Source organism: Homo sapiens, chromosome 11, assembly GCF_000001405.40.
Source record: "Homo sapiens chromosome 11, GRCh38.p14 Primary Assembly".
In the NCBI taxonomy this organism is placed as follows: domain Eukaryota; kingdom Metazoa; phylum Chordata; class Mammalia; order Primates; family Hominidae; genus Homo; species Homo sapiens.
The window spans coordinates 130,520,447-130,542,117 of NC_000011.10; the positions used below are offsets into that span (position 1 = coordinate 130,520,447).

A 21,671-nucleotide genomic window follows, 5' to 3' on the forward strand; every position below is an offset into this window, starting at 1 on the left:
AAGCTGTGTGGGAAAGGAGGGCTACTCGGGGTGGAGCACAGGACAGCTTGGGTGTTGCCTGGGAGGCGTCAGGGAGGAAGGCAGACGTGGGAGTCTTGGGGAATAAGGAGAAAAGGGTTTGAAAACCAGGATAAGGCATTTATCCAGCACTTGGCTGTCTTTATCTCTTAAAATTAAAGCCAGGCCTCTCCTGGAACGTTCCACTTGGGATTCTGCTGGGAAATTAAAAAGACTGGGGAGGGGTGAGTGGTGAGTTGGACTTTTCTGCCTCAGTTGATTGTATATGTGCTGGGTAGGGTGACCCAGAATTTTGGTATTTATTCATTCATCAGTTAGTTTTTGAGTGTCTGCTGTATCCTAAACACTGACTTAAGAGATATGTAAAATAGAAGTCATGATCCCTGCTCTAAAAGAGCTCACTGTCTAGTGGAGAATGCAGACAAATAGACAGATGATCATATGATATGATAGCATCTTCATTTATTCATGCTGAAAAAATCAATAGTTTATATACTATTGATATAATATCCTTGGAGCTATATATATGTGTATATATATGTGTGTGTGTGTATGTGTATATATACATATATATATATATGGTATATATATAAATGGTGTATATATATATATATATATATAAAATTCTCACATGGCTATAAAGGACTACCTGAGACTGGGTAATTTATAAAGAAAAGAGGTTTAATTGGCTCATGGTTCTGTGGGCTGTATGAGAAGCATGGCTGGGGAGGCCTCAGGAAACTTACAATCATGGCAGGAGGTGAAGAGGGAGCAGGCATGTCTTATATGGCCAGAAGGAGGAAGAGTGTGAAGTGGGAAGTGGCACCCACTTTTAAACAACCAGATCTTGTGAGAACTCACTATCAGGAGAACAGTAAAGGGGAAGTCTGCCCCCATGACCTAATTACCTCCCACGAGGCCCCTCCTCCAACACTGGGGATTACAATTCAGCATGAGATTTGGGTGGGGACATAAATCCAAACCCTAACAAGGACAATGGCAAAGCACTTGGAGAGACATACGTAAGATATACATTATATATACAGTACTTGGGTATATGTCATATAGAATACATATGTAATCTTCAAGTGCTTTGCCATTGTCCTTGACATCTACCAATTCAGATAATCTCTGCAACAACCTCTGCTAATAAGTGGCATAGCTGGACTTGAACCCAGGCACTCTTACTCCAGGGTTCATTTCTTTTATTAATTAATTAATTTTTATTTTTAAGAATTAACAGATATGGGGTCTCACTACATTGCCCAGGCTGGTCTCAAACCTCTGGGCTCAAGGGATCCACTTGGCCTCCCAAAGTGCTAGGATTACAGGCTTGAGCCACTGCACCCAGCCTCTATTTCTTAATTACTCCCCCATACAGTCTCTCAACAGAGGTGGGTACAGGGTGCAAGACGAGATTACATATATGAATAGAGTCAGCTCTCTGTGTCCATGGGGTTCCCCATTCATGGATTCAACCATTGGCAGATCTAAAATACAGTATTCTTGGCATGCAGAGCTCATGGATGCAGAGGGCAGATTGTTTCCATATGAAGGTTCACAGGGCTGAGTTCTTGAGCACCTGTGGATTTTGGTATCTGGGGGGTCCTGCGGATTTTGGTATCCTGGTCCAGACCGCTGCAGATACTAAGGTATGACTGTATTTAACTCCGCTTCAGCGAGTCAGGCGAGGCTTCACAGAAAATGCATTATCTTGTAAAGACTAGTGTTCCCAAATTGTGTCTGCATCGTGTTGGGGCTGGGGAGTGGGAGGGCAGTGGGAGGTAGTCTAAGTAAGAGAGCAGAACTGCCCAGGGAGTGGAAGTGAGGGAGAGCAAAGCACCTCATTTCAGGTCGGCCCAGGGCTGGCCCAGGGAGCAGAGTGGCTCCCGGAGGATCCAGCCCAGGCCCTCCCGCCTTACGTCAGAGAAGGCTGAGTCACGGCTCCTATCAGCTGACTGTCGGCCAGGCTCCAGGCCCTCCTGATGACAGCAGGGCTGAATCCAGCCAGTGAGGGGACAGAGGGACAGCAGGAGGGAGGGAAAGGTATAGGAGGTGGGGGTGGGGGTTTCAGCCAGTCTCTTTCCCAGCAGTGATGCCGTCTCAGCCACCAGTTCTCTGCCAGCGGGGTCAGCACAGGCATGGTGAGGGGGAGAGGAAGGAGCTGTCTGTAACACTGCTTAACCTCTGGCACGTGGAGTCTGATTGCCTGGGTCAGCTGCTATCTGTGTCTTGTTTAGCATCCTTTCTCCTGTGTGTCCTGCCCTCTGGCCCATCTGTCCAGCTGATGGTGGGGTTTGCAAGCAGAGGGATGCCTGTCTCCCAGCTCTGGCTGTGTTGCTCTAGCCCAACAGATGCTTGGAACAAATAAACAGGCCAGCAAGTCTTGGAGAGGTTGTCAGGCTGAGTTGAGACATGCTGTCCCTTTTGAAAGCTGTTGATGTACTTAGAAGGATCAGCATCTGGGGCCAGATCATCTCTGACTCTACATTAAAGCCAGAGTTCTCATCTTCTTCATAATGATGGTATGTACTAGTGTTTAATGCTGCATTCTTTTCAAAGTCCCAAGATCACCAGCCAACAATTAGTTAACTGGGGCCCTGCAGTCAGGGTCTTGGACTCCAAGTCCTGAGTGCTTTTCCTGGCCAATGCAGATTCACAACTTCGGGGGTTAGTCTCGAGAGCATTAGAAGTCCCTCAGAAATTGTGAGCTGTGAGGGGACTGACTGTGATTTCACTGGGGTTACATGTCCCTTGCTTCTTTTAGGAGAACAAGCTTGGGACACTATTGGACACACTTCTGAGGGTTTGGATCAGAGGGGCAGGGGCATATGGAGGACTGATCCCCAGAGTCAGACCTCAACCATGCTGGGGTGTAGAAATGAGCCAGGCTCAGGAATCCAGCAGACACATGCTTTTGAGCACTGCCTCCATTTGGCAGGTCCTAAACTTCTCTGAGCCTTGGTTTTCCTCCAGGTAAAGCGGGTATGGCATACATGATAGTGCTTGGCGTTTTGTGAGGATGCACTGGGTGAGCATTCAGCAACTGTAACCTCCCTTCCTATTTCTCCCTGGCTTGTTCCTCAAGTCCCTTCTTGCAGAAAGACCACAGCCAATCTCGGCCCTTTTCTTCTCCCTTGCCTTGGCTGCCTCTTGTTCATGTTGGTCGGCACTCTTAACCAGCCCCCTCGTAGTCACCCGTGAGATTGAGCACGTGGCTGCCGCACAGCCCCCCACAAACACGCTGGTAGGGGCTGAGAGGCTTGAATGAGACAACTCCGATTCTGTGCTCAGCAGCTCGGTGGCCGGCCTGTTGGGTGCATGTTAACTGTGATTATTGTTATGCAGGACTCACGAGGGAAAACTTCAGTGACTCACAAAGTCTTGGGGTTGGAAGGGACCTTTGCCATCATTCTTCCCTGTTTCCTCTTTTGGCAGATGTGGTCTCAGAGGCAGAGTCACTTCACATCTGGGAATAAATCCCAGTCCTACCTGATTCATTCATTTATTTCACCCACACTTATTGAACACTTGCTGTGTGCACTTGCTGCTCCGAGTGTTGGTATATGACACAGTGCCGGCTGCTAAGGAGCCCATGGTCTACTTAAGGGGACAGACACGTATGGGATGCAGTGCCCCGGGGTAAGTGCAACAATGCTAGTATGGGGGGCATTTGGAGAGCGTAGAGAAAGAGCCTCCCATACACCCTTGAAAGGCCAGCAAGTGCTTCCTGGAGTTGATGGTACCTGAGCTAAATATTAAAGAAGTAGAAGCTGGTCAGATTATGTGGAGGTTGCTGGGTGTGAGCCCACAGTGGGTAGGTTTGCTATTTCTGGTGAGAGAGACAAACACAAGTATATTCAGAGAACTAAATGGTTTCCTGGCTGCTGCACCTGGATTCTGGAGAAGTAGATCTTGAGTGTGAGTTTCTAAAAAATGAGATAAGTTAATGATCTGTAATCTCAGCTACTCAGGAGGCTGAGGCAGGAGAATCGCTTGAACCCGGGAGGCGGAGGTTGCAGGGAGCCAAGACCGCACCACTGCACTCCAGCCTGGGCAACACAGTGAGTGAGACTCAGTCTCAAAAAAAAAGTTAATTGGTAGAGTGAACTTTTCCTCCTGAATGGGGCCTTGAAGGCATCATAGGGCATGGCAAATGGGTTGGGGTTGCCAGGCCTTGATCAGATGACTGGTGGAAACTGGCCGTGGGCTTTGAGCTGTACTTCTTGTCAGACTCTTCCCTGTGGATTACAGAAGAGCGCTTATATCTCCCAATTCACATTTGCTAAAAACGACAACAACAACAAACCAAAAAACAAAACAAAACAAAACAAAAAAACGAAGAATCAAACAAACAAAACACTGGAAGAAAAGGGTAAGGAACAGGGCACCAGATAACCAGGTTGTCTTTGAGTGTGCAGAGTGTGTGGCTGAGTGTGAGCATGTCATCTCCCAGAGGGCAGAATGCCTGAGGACAGTCCTACGTGGCCTGTGCAGTTAATACAACCGTCACAATTTTCTCAGTTACCTGCTCACTGCCCAGAGAGGACACGGTAAGTGTCACCTGGACTTCTTGGCACTTTAGGGGTTAGACGGTCACCTCGCAACAAGCCGAGGGTTCTTTTCTGAATCATTCCCTGTTATAATTCAGCATTAAGGTTCTTGGTTGTGAATTAAAAAAAAACAAGCAGAAGGCAAATTGATTGGAAGGGTATTTGGTAGCTCTTTGCTATCTGTGGGTAGTTGAGCACACCAGTCTGAGCACAAACAAAGGTCAGCAAGGCCCAGGGACATCCTACCCTGGGTGCTCTGGGCTTAGGGTGTTGCTTCTGGGTTCTCACTGTTGGATGCAACTGTCCCTGGAAACTTTTATCACATGAATGGCCTCCTGATAACCTCTAACTGATCCTGGACTTTGCTGCATGGACACGGAATTAAAACCTGAGTGGAAGCCTCTGACTGGCTGTGCCCAGGTCACATGGCCTTGCTGAGGAAGGAGAGAAGGGAACCACGTGCCCTCTTTGGCTCCCTTAATAAAGGAACCTGTCTCCCGCCTAATTTGAAATGTCCCCCCCGGAATAGGAGAGTGTTTGAATGCTGAATGGCCCCAAATGCCAAGTAACTACCATGTTTTTTGACCTTCCAGACCCGACTTTCAGACACATTTTGCTCCCCAGCGCTGCCCACCTTTGGTTTCACAGCAGTTCTGAGGCCTGAGAAACTGAGGAGTTTTTCTGGCCACTTTTGGGAGAAGCCATCTTTTAAATTCTTGATCAGTTTCTTCAGCCCCTTCCCTGGAAACAGACACCATTTCTCTTTGAGGGAAAAGAGAAGTCATTGCCTATCTGTGAAGGGGATTCCACTTCCTCTGAGAGAGCTTCCTGTCAATAGCCTCTTCTTGTCTCATATTGTGTACATCAGAGGCAATGAATTGAGCAGGAGGAAAGGGGCCACTTAGTCTCTGACTGTTTCAGTTTTTTCCTGCCTTGACAAATGGCAGAAATCATACTGTCTCATTGAGTAGGCCTCAAGTTAAAACACTCAGGGCCACTTAGACTATTCTTTTCTTTTTCTTTTTAAACAGGTTTATAATTGACATACAAAAACTGCACCTATTTAATGTATCCAATTTGATGAGTTTGAACATATGCATGCCCCTTTGACACCATTACCACAACCAAGGTAATAGACACAGCTATCATCTCAAAAGTTCACTTGTGTCCCCCCATTCCTTTTTTTAAGGGAAAGAACACTTAACAGGAGACATACCCTCTTAATAAAATTTTAAGTGCATGATACAGTATTGTTGACTGTGCAATGCTGTCCAGCAGATCTCTAGAACTAATTCACTTGTATGACTGTAACTTTATACCCATTGGGCAACGGATCCCCATTTCCCTTCCCTTCGGCCCCCGGCAACCACCTTTTTATTCTTTGCTTCTATGAGCCTATTTTAGATACCTCATCCAAGTGGAATCATGCAGTATTTGTCCTTCTGTGCCTGGCTCATTTCACTTAGCATAATGTCTTCCAGGTTCATCCATGTTGTCGAAAATGGCAGGGTTTCCTTCTTTTCTCAGGCTGAAAAATTCTATTGTGTGTGTGTACCACATTTTCTTTATCCATTCATCTCTTGATGGACATTTGGGTCGTTTCCATAACTTGACTCTTCTTAACCTTGTTGCAGTGAACACGGGAGTGCAGATATCTTTTGAAGATCCTGTTTTCAATTCTTTTGGGTATATACTCGGTAGTAGGGTTGCAAATTAAAAATGGAGCTCTCACAGACCATTATTTTCTTGATCCTTTGGTGCATTTACTTTGGGTTGCCTAGGAACTCCTCCGTCTGTGGATTTACCTTGTAGAGTCAGAGGGGATGATTGGGGAACCTGCATGGCGATGTGGGTTTTGAGCCTCTTTGGAATTCAAACAATACTGATTTACCAGAACAAGAAAATTTGGCTTTGGCCCCAATACAGGCTGAGAAAGTTCATCTTTTTAAAAGGGGCCAGTTCTTGATTAGTTAGGGTACTGGAATGGTCCAGGGAGGGATAACTCAGGCCATTTGCTTTGCCTCCTTCCCTTTCTTTCTGTCTGATCTTTGGCCAGTTCATGGCTTTCTAATCCTGCCACTGGGGGATGAAGGAAGATTAAACTTGTGCCGTTGCCTTTGCATGTTATGAGCTCTCCAGAAAAAGTTTGCATGGGAATGGCCGAAGATGTGGTAAGTTAAAGCAAAATCAATACACAGTTTACTATCCATGTCTTTCTGCTACCCTGCAAATTTTCTTCCTCTCCATGTAATCTCTTTATTGCAGCCTAGGAACTTTGTCAAGGGCTCCATGACCAGGGTCTTTAGGAAACTCCAAAGACCTGAGATTTCACCAGCAGAAATGACAGCTGTTCCAAAAACAGAAAGGAGGTAATTTCTTGTGTTTCAAATTTCTCCAAAGGTGAGAGTTAAGACTCACTCTCAAGATCTTTATGTCACATAGGTAATGAGAGGAAGGGGTAGCATTTTAACAGATCACATTCCCAAGGCCAATCCAACGGGAGGGCTGGAATTTGGGGAGGCTGCAGGGAGCAGGACTTTGGTGCCGCAATCACTGGTTACCCTGTAATAGTATCTCAGGAGACTTTCCTGGTTACTGAGGACCAGAACTGTAGCTGATTTTCAGCCCAATACTTGGTGGGTTCTGTGGAGTCCAGCATTCAAAGCCCTACCATCGAGTGTGACTTCAGTGTCACAGGCAGATGGTGTCACCAAGGCATAATGACTCCTGACCTGTGGCTCTGCTCTTCCTCCTTTCTCTTCCTCTCTCCCCTTCCCTGGGGGCCTGTGGTCCAGAGCTGCATTCCTTTGTTATCACACTTCCTTCCACAGACTGCACACGCCTGTTCAGGACACCAAGCTGTGTGAAAGCACTCCAGGCTGGTGGGAATACCGCTCCCAGAAAGAATCTGACTTGTTTCAGAAGCTTATCTTCTGGCACTTGCTCTTCCAAAGAAAAAGGCTGCAGCAGGAGGATAAAAGAGGCAATCCAGGAGTGTGTGAGATGGAGCCAGTTACATGCATCTCAGCCCAGGGAGGGAGTGAGGAGGGAATGAATGCGGCCTAAGTCCCTCACCTGCAATGTGTAGGAGGTAAATGAACCTGCTCACCCTCCCTCTCACCCAGCCACATTCAGGGTCATTTGCTGTAGCTCAGGTGGCTGCGGCTAGGGTGGGGTTGCCAGGTGGAATAATGGTCATGCACAGCTGCCCCTCCACAGGGGCTGAGCCCAGGGTGGCTTCACTGGAAGAGGGTGTGGGACAAGCTGGGTATCCTGGCTGACATCTCTGCTAGCTGTCGGAAAGTTGAGTGAGGGATGGGGTAGCTGTATCTGTGTGTGTATATGTGAGAGAGTGTGTGTTTGCTGGGTCCTCGTATGTGTTTGTTTCAGATGGATGTGTGTGGGTTTGAGGCCAGGGGAATGGTGAGTCAGGGCAGCCCTGGGGGCAGGGAGGGGTGGGTGTGAGCAGGGCGAGTGAAGTGGCTGCAGCAGGAACAGGGGAGGCATGCGGAACATGGGTGGCATGAGAGCTGACGCTACGACTGAATGGATTTTGAAAGGTCTTTGTCTGCCTCAATTAAAAGGATAGATCCTTTTTTTCTTTAAGGCTGAATAAATAATTTTTTCCCTTTTCTTCTTTGGTTCTTTTCATATAACAATTTGTCAAACTCCGTCAAAAACAAACACAAACAGAAAAACCCAAAAGTCTTCTTGAATGGGTTCAAGGTGCAGGAGGCACAGCTGAGCTGTGGGGAGCAGCGGTGCAGGAGCGGGGTGCTCGGTGGACTCTGGACCTGCTCTTGGGGCTGCTGGCCCCCTTCTTGCCCGTGTGGCCAGGGCAGCCCTTTGGAAAAGCTGTGCTGTAGCTTCATCTTTTGTTTTGGCTTTTATTGGCATATTCTTTTGTTCTCTTTAACTGCATCCAATCAAATTGGCACATCTGAGGTTCGGGAAGATGGTTTGGAGCCATTCCATTACTCTGCCTATCGAATTCTGGGATTTCTGCTTCCTGCCCTGTCCTGTCTTCTGTCCCCAGCTCACCCGGCCCCTACTGATGTCATGCTTTATCAGCTTTCCACTGTGCATGTAACTCTGCCTGGCATTTGGTATTGGGGTGGGTGTGGTGCTTTGAGAGAGGCACAGCAGAACCACTGAGAGAAAGGACGGTGTTTTTCCGTTTAGACCCTCATTCATCCCCTCCTTTCTCTATTTTGCAGGTGCAGAACATTGAGTTATGGGGGTCCAGGGTAAACTTGGCTACCTTGGTAAACATGGCTACAAGGTAAACATGGCTGCTTTAACGAACCAGGAATCAGTGTGGCTTTCTGATTCCTCATTTGGTTCTTGGAACACTTATTTCCTTTTCTTACCCAATTTTAGCTACTCAGGGACAGTAGAATCATAAAATTTTACAGTTGGAGGGATGCTTAAAGAACATTAGCATACAGGGGTCTTCAAACAGCGATGTGGAGAAACCCCTCAGAAGTCACCCACTCCACCTCTCAGAGCAGCGCCGTGCTTACTGATTTTGTAGCTTGAGCTTTGGCAAGTTGGGAACCCATCTGGTGTATTTCACGCACCTTTCATATTTAAAAGATGAGTAACATAAACCCGTCAATTAAGAGAAAAAATACCAGACACAAACATTTTTAATCAAGAGGCCTACTTACTTATTCACTACTGAAAAAAATACCCAAACTGAAGCCCTAATATTTTAAGATTTAGGTGACATTTATCAAAACAAGAATTGAAAATGCTTTACATAATCCTGGGGGAAAACAATCTGAATTTTTTTATATAAAATGCTTTTTTGGGGGGGGGCAGAATAAGAGAAGGTTGTTATTCCTACAAACGAACAAAGCACAGGACAAGCTTCATTTTTATATTCTTAAGAACATAGACTGGGCGCAGTGGCTGATGCCTGTAATTCCAGCACTTTGGGAGGCTGAGGGCGGATTGCTTGAGCCTAGGAGTTCGAGATCAGCCTGGGAAACATGATGAAACTCTGTCTCTACCAAACAAACAAACAACAACAAAAAATTAGCCTGACGTGGTGGTGCGTGCCTGTAGTCCCAGCTACTCGGGAGCCTGAGGTAGGAGGATCACTTGAACCGGGGAGATGGAGGTTGCAGTGGGCCTAGACATGCCACTGCACTCCAGCCTGGGTGACAGAGCCAGACCCTGTCTCAAAAACGAAAACAAAAAGCCAACCAAAACCAAACCATAAATGGTGGTGACATAGTCACAGAAGATAAGGTTTAAATGTTGAATACCAATGTTAAGGCTGATGATTAAACAACTTCATTAGGGACAAGTGATTTTCTTCAGGTGTTGAAAGTAAGTCTGGGATGACCAACTGGTGAAAGAAAGGCTTGGTGATCACCTGGTGTTATTTCCCACCATGTCTTCTTCTCTGCTAGAAATACTTGGCTGTTGTGATTCTCACCTGAAAGATCTCACTTGGCCTCCAAGAAAGGGGATGGGTAGCCACATTTAAAACAAAACAAAACAAACAGTCAGAGAATCCTCTTTGAAGCTCATCTATGCAACTGTGGACTAAAATCTAATTTCAACATATTCTAATATTTCTCAGCAATAGCTTGAAACAATTGAGAATTCTTTAAATTTTAGACCCCAGAAAATATCAGCATTCTGCTCACCCATTCCATCTATCTATCTATTTTACCTTTCATTAATTCTTAGTCCATCTGTGCTGCTATAACAGAATGCCTCAGATTGGACAATTATAACAAATAGAAATGTATTGGTTCACAGTTCTGGAAGCTGGGAAGTCCAATTCCAAGGTGCCAGCATCTGGTGAAGGCCTTCTTACTGGGTCGAAATGTGGCAGAAGGCGTCGTATGGCAGAAGGGCAAGGGGAGGGTGAGAGAGGGCAAGAGAGAGGGCTGAACTCATCCTTTATAAGGAACCCACCCTCATTAATGGCATTAGTCCATTCACAGACAGAGCCCTCGTGGTCTAATCACCTCTTAGGGGTCCCACCTCTCAACACTGTTACAATGGCAATTTGTAAGTTTCAATAAAAGTTTTGGAGGGGACAGACATTCGAGCCATAGCAAATTCCTTCACTTGTTCAAAAATTACTGGAATCTAGGAAACTTTCAACATGGAATTTGGAGGAACCATACAGATTTTCTGGTTCAGTGGTTGCAAACTATTCTCTGGGGTGGGAGTAAAGAGAGAGAGAGAGAGAAAGAGAGAGTTAAGGGGAAGCAGGTGGTGCCAAGTAAATGTCTTTGGGCTCCCCCGCCCTGCCTCACCCAGAGAGGCCATCCTGTGGTTGGCTGCTCACAGTACACTGGCCTGGTAGAGCTTTGTAAACTACAGGCAGTGATGCAAGCAGACCTTACTCTGATTAAGTCATGTTTTTCAAGCTTTTATTTAGCAATGGAATTATTTTTTTTTTCTCCACAAGGTCACCTGGTTATATCTACATTATTTATACTATATATTACATGTGATAAAATATATGTGATAAATAAAATACAGAAAATACGTAAAACCAGTATGGACCTGATGAAAGAAAGGGTGAAGGGTCAGACTCCTGTCAACTTTGCTCTCCTTGGTCTTCTCAGCTCCTTTATATAACTTTAGGTTTCGGGACACAGCATGGAAACCACTACTCTAGACGACAGGTACGTACAGAAAATGTTGTGTGTAAGTGGGGTCTTTGCAGATGAATGAACATCTTATTTGCCCAAGGGGACCCTCTGTGTTTTTGGCTGCAAACTAAACAGACTCATGAAGGAATACTTTAGAGAGACTGTGAAGCTGCATTTCTAATCAGGGAGTATAGCTGGAGCCCCTGAGAAGCAGAGGGGTAGATGGGCCAGCTTGTTTAAGATCAGCAGGTTACTGGGTACAGCCTGTGGTGAAACTCATTGTGAAAGTGAGTGAGTGTGTTGTTGGAAACACAAAGAAGCCAAGCTGAATGCCGCCCGAGGCACTAAGCTAGTGGTAGCTCCAGCAAATCCCCAGGATGATGTTGGTGTATACATGGCATGGAAAGACTTCAGGTCACCACCAGTGCCCTCAAAAGTCCATTTTCTGACACTAAGCCCAATGATTTGCTCTTTTTGCCCCTGCCTCCGGCTCTGTCTCCTTCCATTGGCCTCACTCTGCACCTGTCCCACAGGCAGGCAGTGGCATCCTCAGCTCCCGGACTGCTGGGGCCACCAGGTCAGCTGGCCCCTCACCCTTGCTTGGACATTTGGTTTGCATGCTGAAATCAGGATTCCTGAGTGACGTGAGGTCAGGCCCAGGATGGAGAGTCACAAGGAAGAGGTGGAATTCCATAGGTGGAGGTTGAAGAAAGTGTTTGGTTCCAGCTGGGGACTAGAGAGCAATGAGATTTTTAATTTTTTAATCCAACTATAAGATTTTCTGAATTAAAACTACCTGATATGCTTTGGATGTTTGTCCCCTCCAAATCACATGTTGAACTGTGACCCCTAGTGTTAAAGGGGGGTTCTGGTGGAAGGTTTTGGATCATAGGGTGGACCCCTTGCCAATGGCTTAGAATCACATGTTGAACTGTGACCCCTAGTGTTAAAGGGGGGTTCTGGTGGAAGGTTTTGGATCATAGGGTGGACCCCTTGCCAATGGCTTAGAATCACATGTTGAACTGTGACCCCTAGTGTTAAAGGGGGGTTCTGGTGGAAGGTTTTGGATCATAGGGTGGACCCCTTGCCAATGGCTTGGCGTCGTCCCCTTAGTCGAGTGCGTTCTCAGTTAGTTCACACCAGATCCGATTGTTCAAGAGTCTGGGACCTCCTCCCCTTCTCTCTTGCTTCCTCTCAAGCCATGTGACATGCCTGCCCCCACTTTGCCTCCCACCACAATTGGAAGCTTCCTGAGGCCTTCACCAGAGGCAGATACTGGCACCATGCTTCCTATACAGCCTGCAGAACGGTGAGCCAATTAAACCTCTTTTCTTACCCAACCTCAAATATACGTTTATAGTAGTGCAAATGGACTCCTACACCACTGACAGAGATTTTGTGGCTCATCTGATTGCTCTTTTTTACTCTAGGGAAATCTTTGAACACCTCAGTTTGTCAGTGGCCACATCTGTACAACGGGCTACTGGAAATGTGCTCACCTTCAGAAGATGCTATTTCAAACCCACGCATTTGCCCTGAGCCATCTGCTTTCTAGATGGCCCATCTTGTAGCAACTCATAGATGACTTTTTCAGATACTTGGTTGGGGGCGGGGTCAAGACCGTGTTTTGAGAATAGACTTTTTCCCTGTGGGAAACTGAAAGGCTTGTGGTGTAATGATCCCTGGCCTGGGGCCTCCTTTGCACAGTTAATTAATTCCAACGACAAATATTTACTGTGCATCGAGCGTAGCAGGCAGTGCCCTGACTGATTAAGATGATCTGATATGGTAATGCAGGGTGGACTTGAGAAATTAATGATTTTAAAATGTAGTTAGCAACCTAGGGTTCTGGAGGGACAATGCCAGACTTTCTTCTGGTGTTCAAACCGTCCCAGACTGTGAAGGAACTGGTCCGTGATGTCTGCCTGGGCTGCTTTGCCTCTGCTCCATAGCTGAGGGAAGGGGCAGCTCTTGGCTCTCTGCCAGTGTTTGTAATCCGCACAGCAGGCTCCCATGTCTTCTGGGTGGGCCTGCATCTTTTGTTACATATTTGTCCCCGAATCCAGACCACTTCTGAGCTCTCTGGGGAGAATGTGCCCAAGAGCTGTTCAGTGGGGTGGGCAGGCTGGTGGAAGTCCTCAAGCCTAATTTGTTCCGCTTCCCTTCAGCCCTTCAGTCCTAATTCATTTGTTTGTATTTGGGGGAAAAAAAATCTCTCATTATTGTCTATCCTTTATTTCCTGGAATTCAACATGAAAGTTGTCATTGTTTTAGTTTGTGGCCTCCAAAGAAATAAACCATTTGAGCAACAACTGCAACAATAGCAACAATTCTTCATGGCATGGGCGTCAGACCGGTTGACTTTGGAATCTAGGTGTCCATTTTGTTAGAATTGAATGTGCACTGGGTTTGGGGTGGGTGTGAGGGAGGCTGTATTTATTTTTGAACTTCTTTCGCCCATAATGAAAACCAGCTGCCTCTCCAACAAGTGCATTACTCTTCCCATAGAAAGCCTCATGGACAGACTGAAGCTACAGGGGTGGCAAGTCACATAGATGGATGTTTCTAATTTGATCTAGTGAGCTTCACCCTCTATCTCTCGGTCCTCCAGTCCTTGCTCGTGGGTTGATGGACACCTTGTCTCCTTCCATACTTGTGGAACCTAGGGGTACTTTTAGTTAGTGGAGGAGAAATGTGTCTCTTCTCCCCACTGATTCGCCAGGGTGGACATGGAGGGGACCTCCCCACCCTGGGAAAGGTGGCCCCATTCAGCTTGAGTCTGGAGTGAGACCAAACTTTCCTGCCTGCTGCATACAACTTCAACTCCAAGTCCAAGCTGGGCCCGTTATTTTGGCTGCTTGGAGAACATTCCTTCCCATGTGCTGATGCATCAGGGTATCTCCAGCTTCCTTTTCTCTGGAGGGGTGGCACTGAGTTAAAATCCTTCCCTAGGTGCATGGGCAGACGAGTAGGAGGGCTGAGGTGCAGGAAACGCAGCCGAGTGGAGAGCAGGACGGCAGACAGTGCTGTGCTGGCCACCTCTGTGGGTCTGGCCACAGGAGAATGCACAAGAATGATTTACTAGGTGCTTCCTCACCTCTCATGGGTGGTGCCGGGAGATGATGGAATGCGCTTTTTTCCCCGTAAGAGAATGCTTTTGGCAGAGACATTTCCCAGTTATTAAAAAACGGGGCAATGAGGTGAGCTATAAATGCAAACCTCCATATAGGAAAATCCAGAAGAAATGAGTAAGGACGAGGTGATGCAGTGGAGATTGTGGGGAGAGAGAAAAGATTAAAAACAGGCGAAGAGAAGAACAATGAAGCTGTGTTGAGACTGAATGGGAGAGAGCGGGAGTTCTGTAAAGGCAAGAAAAACATCAGCAATGGAGTCAAGGAAAGCTCAGCGGTGACTTTGCTCCTTGCCCGCAGTGTAGAAGCAGATAGAAGGCTGGGGAGGGGTTGACTAGGCAGGTTGAATTTGTAGGTCAGTGGAAGAAACAGCAAGAATGAGAAAAAGGAGCTCGGGGTGCTTAGGTCATTGGACACCCTTGAAGCTGTGGGTAATGTGCACTGCGGAAAGATTTGGGCGAATTTCCACAGAACCAATTCTGAGAACACGATATGGTGTGTCTTGACTCTTTATGGGGGGACGTGCCTTGTAGGACCAGAGAAATGCGCACAGCTTAGCCTTTACAGCTATATCCAGTTTCCACGGAGTTCTCGTTCTTTCCTGGTTCCCATAACGCTTGTCTGTGTTCAAATATATTTACCTCTTGATACTCTATTCAGCATAGTGAATTGTTCCTGTTATTCGCTGAGTTCTTTTTAGTGTATTTTCTCATTCTTTACAAGTCTGAGATTCTTAGGGACAAGGAGAGTGTCTTGTATTTCTTTTGTGTTATTCACAGTCTTGCAGAGTGGTGAGGAAAGGGTAGGTGTAGACAGCGTGAAATTAAATCGGACCTAAAGCTGCCTCCTACGTATTTCAGGTTTGGCCTGAAGGTTTCTGCACACCCAGCCAACTGCCACCTAACAGGATGCGTAAACAGACTGTAACCTCCTAGTAACAAGTCACTGAGTCTCAGCCAGTCACAGGCGGTAACTGTTCAAACCCTGCTCAAATCAGGCAAACACTGAACTGTAACCAGTCTGGCTGTTTCTGCACCCCACTTCCATTTTCTGTCCATCACCTTCTGTTTCCTATCTGTAAATGTTATCTGACCCTGTGGCAGCCCTGCGGTTGCTCTGAACCTGTTCTGGTTCTGGGGGCTGCCTGATTTGTGAACTGTTCTTTGCTCAGTTGAACTCTTAAATTTGACTTGTCTAAAGTTTTTCTTTTAACAATGGACAGTGCTGAAATGAGGACTCTGTAGGAGAAAACCAGCCAGCCAGGCTGCCCCTTCCCACCTCTCACTTCCTTCCCACATTTATTGAATGCTTACTGTGTGCGATGCCCTGTTCTAGGCCCTGGACACGAGCAGTCAACAGACAGATGAGCTCTGGTGAAGCTTCCGTGTCAGTGGGAGAGAAAGGCAGGACAGCAGAAGGAGTGCACGCACAAACGCTCCAAGCAGGGATCAGTGCTATCAGGGTGAGAAGGGGAGAGAGGGCCAAGGGGCTGCAGGAGAGGGTGTGTGACTGCAGTTTACACAGGGTACAGGGAATGTCCTTTTTCTTTCCAATGTCAGTGACACTTGCTTAGAGACCTGAATGAAACAGGAGGCTCTTTGGTGGAGAAGCCATGCTCACGGGAGCAGGGAGGTGCTGAGGAGAAAGGTGCCAGTGTGCTCAGAGGACAAGGAGGAGGCTGTGGGCTGGAGCGGAGTCAGGAGGGGTGGATGAGATCAGAGAGGGAACAGGGGCTGGACCACCGCAGTTCTTGTAGTCACAGCAAGTGAGGATATAGGATCCTTTTCTGGGTGAGGTAGAAGCTTCGGGGTGGAGGAGGGACTGAGACCACTGGGGCTGAAAGAGTTGAGAGGCAGGAATGGGTGGTGGCTTGGGCCAGGTGGGCGTGACTGAAATGAAAGAAGTGGTTGGATTCTGGATCTTTTTGGAAGATGGAGCTGACAACATTCGCCCATCTGAGGAATGAAAGAAGGAGGGGAGTTGAGGATGACTCAGGGTTTTTGGCTTTGTCAGAAGATGTGTTTAGCTTGAGCTTTGGGACTGGACAAGTTGTTGAGCAAAGGAAGCACTGGAATGAGCCTACACCTTGATTTCCTCAGTGACTTGCTGGAATGGTGTGTACATGCATGGTTGTTGCCAAACTCTGCCTCAGGTCAGATGAGGATGCTGAGGTAACAGGCTCAGAGGAGTTATTCACTCCACAAATGTGTATAGAGTATCCGTTACAGCAGGATTCTAGATGATATTTTAGGTTGTTTTGCCTCCTTTATCCAGGCAGAGTCTGCTATTGTTTTGGGACCAGAACTCATTCTGAGTAAAAGAAAAAAAAAGTCTAATCCAATTCCACTTCATTGTTGCTGCAGGGTGGTCAGGGCAGTTTATTTTATTTTGAGTTCCAGGGTACATGTGCAGGATGTACAAGTTTGTTACACAGGTAAACGTGTGTCATGGTGGTTTGCGGCACCTATCAACCCATCACCTAAGTATTAAGTCCCGCATGGGCATGCATTAGCTATTTTTCCTGAGGCTCTCTCTCCCCTGTCCTCCTGCCATCTCCGCAACAGGCCCCAGAGTGTGTTGTTTCCCTCCCTGTGTCCATGTGTTCTCATTGTTCAGCTCCCACTTATGAGTGAGAATGTGTGGTGTTTAGTTTTCTGTTCCTGCTTTAGTTTGCTGAGGATAATGGCTTCCAGCTCCATCCATATCCCTGCAAAAGACATGATCTCATTCATTTTTATGGCTGCATGGTATTCCATGGTGTATATGTGCCACATTGTCTTCATCCAGTCTATCATTGATGGGCATTTGGGTTGATTCCATGTCTTTGCTATTGTGAATAATGCTGCAATGAATATATCTGTGCATGTATCTTTATAGTAGAATAAGTTATATTCCTTTGGGTATATACCCAGTAATGGGATTGCTGGGTCAGATGGTATTTCTGGTTCTAGGTTTTTGCGGAATCGCCACACTGTCTTCTACAATGGTTGAACTAATTTACATTCCCACCAACCATGTAAAAGCGTTCCTATCTCTCCTCAGCCTCGCCACCATCTGCTATTTCTTGACTTTTTAATAATTGCCTTTCTGACTGGTGTGGGATGGCATCTCACTGTGGTTTTGATTTGCGCTTCTGTAATGATCAGTGATGTTGAGGTTTTTTCATATGTTTGTTGGTCACATAAATGTCTGTTTTTGAGGAGTCTCTATTCATGTCCTTTGTCCACTCTTTAATGAGGTTGTTTGGTTTTTTTCTTGTAAATTTGTTTAAGTTCCTTGTAGACTCTGGATGTTAGGCCTTTGTCAGATGGACAGGTTGCAAAACAGGTTGCAAACATTTTCTCCCATTCTATAGGTTGTCTATTTGCTCTGACGATAGTTTTTTTTTTTTTTTTTTTTGAGACGAAGTCTCACTCTGTCGCCCAGGCTGGAGTGCAGTGGCATGATCTCGGCTCACTGCAATCTCCACCTCCCGGGCTCAAGCAATTCTCCTGCCTCAGCTTCCCAAGTAGCTGGGATTACAGGCATGCACCATCACACTTGGCTAATTTTTATATTTTTAGTAGAGACAGGGTTTCACCATGTTGGCCAGGCTGCTCTCGAACTCCTGGCCTCAGGTGATTCACCCACCTCAGCCTCCCAAAGTGCTGGGATTACAGGTGTGAGCCACTGAACCCGGCCTGATGATAGTTTCTTTTGCTGTGCAGAAGCTTCTCTTTAGTTTAATTAGATCCCATTTGTCAATTTTGGCTTTTGTTGCCATTGCTTTTGACATTTTTGTCGTGAAATCTTTGCTGGTGCCTACGTCCTGAACGATAGTGCTGAGATTTTCTTCTAGGGGTTTTTATAGTTTTGTGTTTTACATTTAAGTCTTTAATCCATCTTGAGTTAATTTTTGTCAAAAATATAAGGAAGGGGTCCAGTTTCAATATTCTGCATATGACTAGCCAGTTCTCCCAGCATCATTTATTAAACAGGGCATCCTTTCCCCATTGCTTGTTTTTGTCAGGTTTGTTGAAGGTCAGATGGTTGTAGATGTGCAGTCTTATTTCTGAGTTCTCTATTCCATTCCATTGGTCTATGTGTCTGTTTTTGTACAAGTACCATGCTGTTTTGGTTACTGTAGCCTTGTAGTATAGCTTGAAGCTGGGTAGCGTGATTCCTCCAGCTTTGCTCTTTTTGCTTAGGATTGTCCTAGCTATATGGGCTCTTTTTGGTTCCATATGAATTTTAAAATAGTTTTTTCTAATTCCGTGAAAAATATCAATGGTAGTTTGTTGGGAATAGTATTATATCTATAAATTACTTTGGGCAATATGGCCATTTTCATGATACTGATTCTTCCTATCCATGAGCATGGAATGTTTTTCCATTTGTTTCTGTCCTCTGTTATTTCCTCGAGCAGTGGTTTGTAGTTCTCCTTGAAGAGGTCCTTCACTCTCCTTGTTAGCTATGTCCCTAGGTATTTTATTCCCTTTGTGGCAATTGTGAATGAGAGTTCATTCATGATTTGGCTCTCTGCTTGTCTATTGTTGGTATATAGGTATGTTTGTGATTTTTGCACATTGATTTTGTATCCTGAGACTTTGCTGAAGTTGCTTATCAACTTAAGAAGCTTCTGGGCTGAGATGATGGGGGTTTTCTAGATATAGAATCATGTCATCTGCAAACAAGATAATTTGGCTTCCTCTCTTCCTATTTGAATACTCTTTATTTCTTTCTCTTGCTTGATTGCCTTGGCCAGAACTTCCAATAGTACATTGAATAGGAGTGGTGAGAGAGGGCTTCCTTGTCTTGTGCTGGTTTTCAAGGGGGAATGCTTCCAGCTTTTGCCCATTCAGTATGATATTGGCTGTAGGTTTGTCATAAATAGCTCTTATTATTTTGAGGTGTACCTAGGTGTACCTTCAATACCTAGTTTATTGAGAGTTTTTAACATGAAGTGATGTTGAATTTTATTGAAGGCCTTTTCTGCATCTATTGAGATAATCATGTGGTTTTGTCTTTAGTTCTGTTTATGTGATGAATTATGTTTATTGATTTGCATGTGTTGAATCAGCCTTGCATCCTGGGGATGAAGCCGGCTTGATTGTGGTGGATAAGCTTTTTGATGTGCTGCTGGATTTGGTTTGGCAATATTTTATTGAGGATTTTTGTGTGGATATTCATCAGGGATATTGGCCTGAAGTTTTCTTTTTTTGTTGTATCTCTGCCAGGGTTTGGTATCAGGATGATGCTGGCCTCATAAAATGAGTTAGGGAGGAGTCCCTCCTTTTCAATTGTTTGGAATACTTTCAGAAAAAATGGTACCAGCTTCTCTTTGTACCTCTGGTAGAATTCAGCTGTGAATCTGCCTGGTCCTGGGCTTTTTATTTTTTTGGTTGATAGGCTATTTATTACTGCCTCAATTTTAGAACTCATTATTGGTCTATTCAGGGATTGAATTTCTTCCTGGCTCAGTCTTGGGAGGGTGTATGTGTCCAGGAATTTATCAATTTCTTCTAGGTTTTCTAGTTTATGTGCACAGAGGTGTTTATAGCATTCTCTGATGGTTGTATTTCTGTGGGGTCAGTGGTGATATCCCTTTTATCATTTTTTATTGTGTCTATTTGGTTCTTCTCTTTTTTCTTCTTTATACATCTGGCTAGTGGTCTATTTTATTAAATTTTCAAAAAACCAGCTCCTGGATTTGTTGATTTTTTGAAGTGTTTTTCATGTCTCTATCTCCTTCAATTCCCAGTGCACTTTAAATAGATGTTATTTTTAGAATGATTTTAGGTCACAGCAAAATTGAGGGGAAGATGCAGACTTCTTATACAGCCCCTGTCCCCACACATGCACAGCCTTCCCCACTATCAGCATCCCTCAGACTGGCACTTTTTTTTTTTTTAAACAATCGAGAAACCTACAATGACACATCATTATCACCCAAAATCCGTAGTTGGCATTAAAGTTCACTCTTGGAGTCATGCATTCCATGGGTTTGGATAAATGTATAATGATGTGTATCCATCATTATAGTATCAAAAAGAATGGCTTCATTGTACTAAATATCTCCTGTGCTTTCCCTATTAACCCTTCCCTCCCATTAATCCCTTGTAACCACTTATCTTTTTACTGTCTCTATAGTTTTGCTTTTTCTAGAATATCATATATTGGAGTCATATAGAATGTAGCCTTTGCAGATTGGCTTATTTCACTTAATACACTAAAGGGTCCTCCATATCTTTTTGTGACTTGATATCTCATTTCCTTTTAGTGCTGAATACAATTCCATTGTTGGGATGTACCACAGAATTTTTATCCCTTCAACTACTGAAGGACATCTTGGATGCTTCCAAGTTTTGGCAATTATGAATTAAGCTGCTGTAAACAGGTTCTGAGTGGACATAAAGTATTGAACTCATTTTGGTAAATACCAAAGAGTATAACATACTTTTACTATACAGTTCCTGGATTATGTGGTAAAAGTATGTTCAGTTTTCTGCCAAACTGCCTTCCACAGTGGCTATACTACTTTGCATTCCCACCAGCAATGAACGAGAGTTCCCGTTGCTCTACATCCTTGCCAGCATTTGGTGTTGTCAGTGTTCTGGATTATTCACCATTTTAATAGGTGTTTAGTGGTATCTCATTATTTTAATTTGCAATTACCTAATTATATGATGTTGAGCTTCTTTCTATATACTTATTTGCCATCTGTATATGTTCTTTGGTGAGGCATCTGTTTAGATCTTTTGCCCATCTTTTAATCAGATTGTTCATTTTCTTATTGTTGAGTTTTAAGAGTTCTTTATATATTTTAGTTAACAGTCCTTTATCTGATATATCTTTTGCAAATATTTTCTCCCAGTCTGTGGCTTGTCTTAATTCTCTCTACAGAGTATTTTGCAGAGCAGAAGTTTTTAATTTTGATGAAGTTCAGCTCATCATTTCTTTCTTTCATGGATCATGACTTTGGTGTTGTAGTTAAAAAGTCATCACCAAAACCAAGGTCATAGGATTTCTCTTGTGTTACGTCCTAAGTGTTTTAGAGTTTTGCATCTTATTGATGCACTTTAAAAACTTTCTATGGCTTCTGAAACTCTTGACTCATTTTCCCCAATGTCCTCTCCTTCTGGCCTCTTCTTTAATGCCCCTTGCCACCCAAGTAAAGGGTAGATATTGCATCTCAACTCCCAACAGATATAAATTCCTATACAACAACAGATATAAAAGAATATTCAACTCTAATTAAGTCCGCTGGGAGCTGCTGGGAGACCAAGGCCAACAGGCTAGTCCTTATTTTCTGGACTGTTTTCTTCAGACCAGCTTTTCTTATTACTGTGCCTGCCATCCATGCCCTG

The 21,671-nt window shown here is 45.0% G+C and overlaps 1 long non-coding RNA gene across 1 annotated transcript, besides 2 other annotated features; it reads left to right on the plus strand.

The window, feature by feature from the left end:
• On the plus strand, positions 2,021 to 13,506 carry LOC105369574 (uncharacterized). Its single transcript, XR_007062953.1, has 5 exons — positions 2,021 to 2,162; positions 8,789 to 8,853; positions 11,168 to 11,227; positions 12,394 to 12,503; positions 12,625 to 13,506. It is a non-coding gene; the product is annotated as an uncharacterized LOC105369574 (long non-coding RNA).
• Positions 2,466 to 3,093: an enhancer, noted in NCBI's record as "H3K27ac-H3K4me1 hESC enhancer chr11:130392807-130393434 (GRCh37/hg19 assembly coordinates)". NCBI's record gives its function as "activates a minimal SCP1, AML or CMV promoter by ChIP-STARR-seq in primed H9 embryonic stem cells {active_cell/tissue: H9 hESC(primed)}" and the evidence as "EXISTENCE:reporter gene assay evidence [ECO:0000049][PMID:30033119]".
• Positions 16,314 to 16,514: a silencer, noted in NCBI's record as "peak1516 fragment used in MPRA reporter construct". NCBI's record gives its function as "represses an SCP1 promoter by STARR-seq MPRAs in K562 erythroleukemia cells {active_cell/tissue: K562}" and the evidence as "EXISTENCE:reporter gene assay evidence [ECO:0000049][PMID:32103011]".